We start from the raw sequence: 7,023 nt of genomic DNA on the forward strand, positions 1-7,023 counted from the left end.
TGCATACTGATGTGGGCTAGAAATATTTAGAATGTGTTATCTACCTAAATGATTTTAGCATTTTTCTAAGAGAAATTGGACATCTTTACTACACACAATTACATTAATTCAGTAAAACCCACTAGCCACCATGAGGACAGGCAAGTGTTGGTGATGCCATGAGGCTCCCACTAGTACACACTATGGCCATTCCCTCCCAAGGCAGGGGGCCTCACCTTGTGCAGTGAAGCCCTTTCCTGACATGGCCAATGATCAGGAACCGATTCTCCCAGATCTGCCCATTGGGAGTGAGCAGGGTCTCAGTATCTGGGGAGCAGTGAGGGCCCCTGACAAGAAGAGGGTTGACTCAATGGTTCATCATCACTGCCCACACAGAATGTTCCAGGTCCCAGGCATGCATCTTTTGTGGATGAACCCAGTAAATAACCACAGGAGAAAGTAAGGAAGAGATGACTTGGAGAGGTAAAGAATGGGCATAAATTAATCAAAGTTTAGGCTGGGCACGGTGGTTCACACCTGTAATCCTAGCACTTTGGGAGGCTTCCTTGAGGTCACTTGAGGTTAGGAGTTTGAGACCAGTCAGGCCAACATGGTGAAACCCCATCTCTACTAAAAATACAAATTCCCTTGAACCTGGGAGTTGGAGGCTGCAGTGAGCCAAGATCACACCACTGCACTCCAGCCTAGGTGACCAAGCAAGACTCCGTCAAAAAAACAAAACAAACAAACAAACAAAAACAGGTCAGGCTCGGCGGCTCATGCCTGTAATCCTAGCACTTTGGGAGGCCAAGGTGGGCAGATTACCTGAGGTCAGGAGTTCGAGACCAGCCTGATCAACATGTTGAAACACCATTTCTATTAAAAATACAAAATTAGCAGGGCATGGTGGTGCATGCCTGTGATCCCAGCTACTCAGGAGGCTGAGGCAGGAAAATCGCTTGAACCCAGGAGGCGGAGGTTGTGGTGAGCCAAGATCGTGCCATTTCACTCCAGCCTGGGCAACAAGAGCGAATCTCCGTCTAAAACAAAACAAAAAAAAAAGAAAAAAAACACAACAACAAAATGAAGTTTATTTTGATTCCTTTATTTCCTGCGGATGAACTTAAATCACAGATGAACTAGTACCTCTTTTTTTAATTCATCAGGAACTAAAGATTTCTGATGTATAAATTGCTGAAACAGGCTAATCAATCATGAAGGACAGCAGAGAGTTTCCATTTAGGTTCCCTTTACTTCCGACGTTTCTTTGTATCCATCCTTGCTGAGATAACTCCTTCACTCTAGAACTTCAGGTTCTATTTCTGACTGTCTAGGACACAGATCCCTGAGTCTCAGTGACTCCATTCAACCTTTTCCCCAGTGCTGCCCCCTGCTGGGTTTTTTTGTGTTTTTTTTCCCACTCACAGAAAGCACATGCCTGAAACAGAGGTTTCTCTGCTCCCTTTATAATACACCTATAGACCCGGCACAGCTGCTTATGCCTGTAATCCCAGAATCTTGGGAGGCCAAGCAGGGGGCTCCCTTAAGCGTAAGAGTTTGAGACCAGCCTGGACAACATAGGGAAACCCTGTCTCAAATTTTTAAATAAAAGCTGTAAAATTGTAAAATAAGGAAAAAGAAAAATAAAAGATATCTATGTCCTAGATTTTAGTTTCCAAGTGCCTGGAGAAAAAGCTTTTTATACCTCCACCCCACTAGGCAGGCCTTCCCCGCAAGCAAAAATTGAACTCCAGTTGCTCAGTGGGTGACATGCCACAGCAAGGGCAGGAGACGGGACCAAAGAAGATCCTGTTGGGCTCCCTTACTTCCCTCAGTATACGCATCAGCTCAGCCTGAAGTGGGGTGAGGAGCTCCGAAATGACACGACCCCTGTTGTCAAGACTCTCCCGAGGGGCAGGATATGTTTCCAGGCTCAAATTGCTCAGCCTGCCTGTGTGGCGCAGCAGGTCCTTCAGACCATCCATGGACGTGTCATTGCCGTGAAAGCAGAAAGTGGTGAGGTTGGAGCAGCGGCTCAGGGCAGGCAGGATGACCCTGAGTTTGGAGTCCCCAATCCCACAGTCCACTAAGAAGAGGGTCTGAAGAGTGGCAGCAACTTTCTCTAGCAGAGCTCGGAGGGGCTCAAGACGGATGAAGCGCAGTGTACCATGACTCAGATTCAGCTGCTTCAGTTGACTGAGACTTGGGTACCAGGGCAGACATTTCAAGTCCTCTTCATCTAGGGAGCCATAAGTTAATGCCAATGTCTCCAACGGGCTCTTGAGGCACCTGGGGAGAGCAAGAAGTTAGTACTGGGCAATGGCACCAGTTAGAGGACGGTGGTAGAAAATAACGTCAAGGGAAGAGCCTGTTTTGCCCAAACACAAGTTTGTTCTCATCATCTAATCATGGTCCTCCCGCAAGGTGCTGCCTGATGAGGACTTGGATCATTCAGAGGCAGTCCCATTTTAGGCTCAGTCCTTTCACCATCACTGGTGTGATTGGTTCAAGGCCATAAAATCTCTAAAGCCTCTTTTCTTCATCTTCCAGCAGAAAGCTTCATCTCTGGGCCACAGGAGCCCAGTGGAAGAGATGCCCAAAGAACTGACCTGAGCAAGGTCTAGGGACATCAGCTAGGGCTACCTGCTTTCAGAGGCTCCCTGACATGGCCACATCTGCAAACCACCTGTCACTTTGTACCACTCTCGTGCCTACTCCCTCACCTCCATCCCCAGAAGCACGCATTTCCCATGTCAATTACCTTTCCTGGAGTTCAAAACAACCTTTTACAGACAGGGAATCAGAGAGAGGATCATTCACGTTCACTAAGCTGTGAGGACAGAGCTTCCTCTGTGAAACGCACAGGTTTGGTGCACTTTCTCTTCTTTTACACCCTCCCCTCTGTTGCCTCTTTTTTATCATATTAACTTTAAACACACTTCCTAACAAGGAATTCACAAAAGCTATTCATACTTATCATATTAACTTTAAACACACTTCCTAACAAGGAATTCCTAAAAGGAATTCACCCTCACTGGAGCTGAACCCCCCACTAACCAGCTCCCTACACGATGTCCCTCTCTGTAGCGTCTATGCCAGGTCATCCCTCTGCCCTTACTGGAGCGATCCTGTGATACCCACTTCAGGATATAGAGCACCAAACAGGACAATGCATTCTAGTATCCCCTTCCCTGGACATCTCCAGTGGCTGGCACACAGTAGATGCTGACTAGTGTTTACTGTAACAAAAAAAGGCTGTGCTGTGTCCCCCAGAGAAAGCTCACCATCTTTCCTCACCTGATCAGCTGGTCCAGGTAGCCTTCGAAGAAGCGGATCCTTCTCATATAAAGCATCTGGAGGTACTCCAGCCTGAGGAACACAGAGCTGAATTCAGCAACTAACTGTCCTTGGCTCTCAAAGCTTGGCAGGTAACCACAGCCATCGGAGATGAAGAGTTTTCGAAGATTCTTCATCTGGCTCAGGTAACGGCTAACCTCTGCTACCATACACGGCCAGCACATGTTCCAAATTTCCAATACTTGGATACTGTCTGGGTATACTGTTTCTAATATGTTTCTGAAATTTAGAATGTTCATTGAATAATTTACCACCTTAGTACAGCACAGGTGTACTGAACGTCTTCTGTGCTGCACCCACCCAGAGAAGAAGCTCAGATCTTCATCCACGGATTTTTCCTTGAGGCAAACATCCATGAACACCTTCAAGGGCTGCTTCTCTCCTGTCCTTGGACAGTCCTCCACTGTCTGTCTCTTACTCATGGCCTCTGGGGAGCAGGACAGGGGCCTGGCTCCAGACCATATGGTCCAAAAATTCTCATCAACATCCCGCATTTCCAGCACTTGAAGTTTCCACCTCCTGTGAGTAACATAGGGGAAAAGCTCAGAACGTAGACAAGGACCCACCCCTGACCTGGGCTTTCACTCCACATCAAGGACTTCAGCTGCTTTTTTCCTCAGCGCCCCTCCTTCTGTCTCTTCTCCATCCCTTTCCCCCTTGGATTCTGCCTGGTACCCACTTCTAGTGCCTTTACCTTCCACTGGGAGCAGGCAGGTTCCTGTTTCCTCAGTGGACCCTGTATGGTGAGCAGTCCTTTCCCAGAGGAGCTGGGCAATAGCCAAGAACGTTCCCAGCTTTCTCACTGGCACCATCAGAAGCCCCTGGGCCACCCCAGGTTCCCAATTTGTCTGACCCAGCTGCTTAGTCCCTGGACACCTGGGCCCTCCCCACCTGGGTCACCTCACCTGGGGCGAACCTTTTGGGCAAGCAGGCAATCAATCCCATCCACTACATAATGTAAGATCTCCAGATCAGGCGTCTTCATCAGGGACCCCAGAGGGAGGCAGGGGAAGGGCCAGGCCTGCACCATCACCTTCAGAACCTCGCAGCATCTGCTAGTGAAGGCCTCCACGAACAGTCGGGGGAAGAGCTCCCTGGGCAGCTCATCCAGGACGGAGATGGCCAAGGCCTGGTCCCTCAGCAGGCTCTGCCCTGCCAGCTCCAGGAGTCTGCGTGGGGCCTGGAAGCTCATCCTGATAAATCTGCAAGAAAAATCCAGAGAAAAGACAAACTTATCAGGCCAGTCCTCTCACACCCTGACTTCTCCTCGGCCAAAAGTCACTACTCTGTCAGGTGTGAAAGAGTCCTTAGTTTACCCCAATTCGACTCTGCAATAATTGGCCACAGAGACATAGTTCTGCCCTTCTGGTACCAAGAAGAGTGTCTCCCAACCTCCAAGGAGCGGGCAAGATCACTCCTACTCCATGAATTTTCATCCATTGCTCCACCCTGGCCAGGCGCGGTGGCTCACGCCTGTAATCCCAGCACTTTGGGAGGCCGAGGCGGGCGGATCACGAGGTCAGGAGATCGAGACCATCCTGGCTAACATGGTGAAACCCCGTCTCTACTAAAAATACAAAAAATTAGCCAGGCGAGGTGGCGGGCACCTGTAGTCCCAACAACTCTGGAGGCTGAGGCAGGAGAATGGCATGAACCCCAGGGAGCAGAGCCTGCAGTGAGCCGAGATTGCGCCACTGCACTCCAGCCTGGGCGACAGTGAGACTCTGTCTCAAAAAAAAAAAAAAATTGCTCCACCCAACTCTATTAGCTCTGGGAAGTGTTACCAAGGATCTTCAAAGCTCAGCTCCTTTCTTGAGAAAAAATGCCTTCTCAATTTAAGGATCTAAAACAATGGTCATGTGGCTGGGCTTGGTGGCTCACAACTGTAGTCCCAGCACTTTGGAGGCCAAGGCGGGCGGCTCACTTGAGGTCAGGAGTTAGAGACCAGCCTGGCCGACAAGGTGAAACCCAGTCTTTACTAAAAATACAAAAAGTAGCCAGGCATGGTGGCGGGTGCCTGTAACTCCAGCTACTCAGGAGGCTGAGGCACAAGAATTGCTTGATCCCAGGAGGTGGAGTTTGCAGTGAGCTGAGATAGTGCCACTGCACTCCAGCCTGGGCAATAGAGCGAGACTCAGTCTCAAAAAGAAAAACAAAACAAAACAACAAGACAATGGTAATGGGAGTCTCCTGTGGCCCCAAACAACCTGCAATCTCAGTTCCCACAATGAACCTGGCTGGGAGAGACTAAAGGGATATTTCTAATTAGACACCATTATGTTCACTTTCAAAAGAGTAATGAGGGGCCACACATGGAGGCTCACAGCTGTAATTCCAACACTTTGGCAAGCCAAGGCAGAACAATCACTTAAGCCATAGAGTTGCCGACCAGCCTGGGCTACGTAGTGAGACCCTGTCTCTCCAAAAAAATTCAAAAAATAGATGGATGTGATGGCGCACACCTGTAGTCCCAGCTGCTCTGCAGGCTGAGGTGGAAGGATGGCTTGTGTCTGGGAAGCAGAAGTTACAGTGATCTGAGACTGTGCCACTGTACCCCCAGCCTGGGCAGAAGAGCAAGACTCTGTCTTAATAAAATAAATAAATAAATAAAATATTACCCACTTTGGAATGGAGTCTAGAGAAACAAATGGATCCCACATTCAGAACAAAGACTCCATTCTTGAAAATGGTGTGTGAGACCAGTCATGTTGGCTCATGCCTGTAATCCCAAGACTTTGGAAGGCGAAGTGGGAGGTTTGCTTGAATCTAGGTGTCCCAGACCAGCCTAGGTAACAAACCAAGACCCCATCACTATAAAAAAACATAGTAATAGGCCCGGCACGGTGGCTCACACCTGTAATCTCAGCACTTTGCGAGACTGAGGTGGGAAGATCACCCGAGTTTGGGAGTTTAAGACCAGCCTGGCCAACATAGTAAAACCCCATCTCTATTAAAAATACAAAAATTAGGCCGGGAGCAGTGGCTCACGCCTGTAATCCCAGCACTTTGGGAGGCCGAGGCGGGTGGATCACGAGGTCAGGAGATCCAGACCATCCTGGCTAACACGGTGAAACCCCGTCTCCGCTAAAAAAACAAAAAATTCTCTGGGCGTGGTGGCGGGCCCCTGTAGTCCCAGCTACTTGGGAGGCTGAGGCAGGAGAATGGCGTGAGCCCGGGAGGCGGAGCTTGCAGTGAGCCGAGATCACGCCACTGCACTCCAGCCTGGGCAACAGAGCGAGACTCCGTCTCAAAAAAAAAAAAATACAAAAATTAGCCAGGCATGGTGGCAGACACACATAGTCCCAGCTACTTGGGAGGCTGAAGCAGGAGAATCACTTGAACCCAGGAAGCAGAAGTTGCAGTGAGCCAAGATCGCGCTCTGCACTCGAACCTGGGCAACAGAGTGAGACTCCATCTCAAAAAAAAAAAGAAAAAAACAAAAAAATTAGCCAGTTATACTGGTGCGCGCCTGAATTCCAGCTATTCAGAAGGCTAGAACTTCTGAGTAGGGAGGATTGCTTGAACCCAGAAGGCAGATGTTGCAGCGAGTCGAGATCAAAACACTGCATTCCACCATGAATGACGCAGCAAGACACTGTCTCAAAAAAAAAAAAAAAAAAAAGACTTCAGTCAATTGCATTATTTTTTAACTGCTTGATTCAGAACTTTGAGGCTGGGCACCGTGGC

The 7,023-nt window shown here is 48.9% G+C and overlaps 1 protein-coding gene across 1 annotated transcript; it reads right to left on the bottom strand.

The window, feature by feature from the left end:
* Positions 1 to 1,058: 1,058 nt before the first annotated feature.
* On the bottom strand, positions 1,059 to 4,575 carry PRAMEF19 (PRAME family member 19). Its single transcript, NM_001099790.5, has 3 exons — positions 4,242 to 4,575; positions 3,277 to 3,855; positions 1,059 to 2,268 (listed from the first exon to the last, which is right to left on the bottom strand). The coding sequence occupies exons 1-3, from the start codon at positions 4,526 to 4,528 to the stop codon at positions 1,695 to 1,697; spliced, it is 1,440 nt and encodes a 479-aa protein (NP_001093260.3). The 5' UTR covers positions 4,529 to 4,575; the 3' UTR covers positions 1,059 to 1,694.
* Positions 4,576 to 7,023: the final 2,448 nt, after the last annotated feature.

This window comes from Homo sapiens, chromosome 1 (assembly GCF_000001405.40).
Source record: "Homo sapiens chromosome 1, GRCh38.p14 Primary Assembly".
NCBI classification, from domain to species: Eukaryota; Metazoa; Chordata; class Mammalia; order Primates; family Hominidae; genus Homo; species Homo sapiens.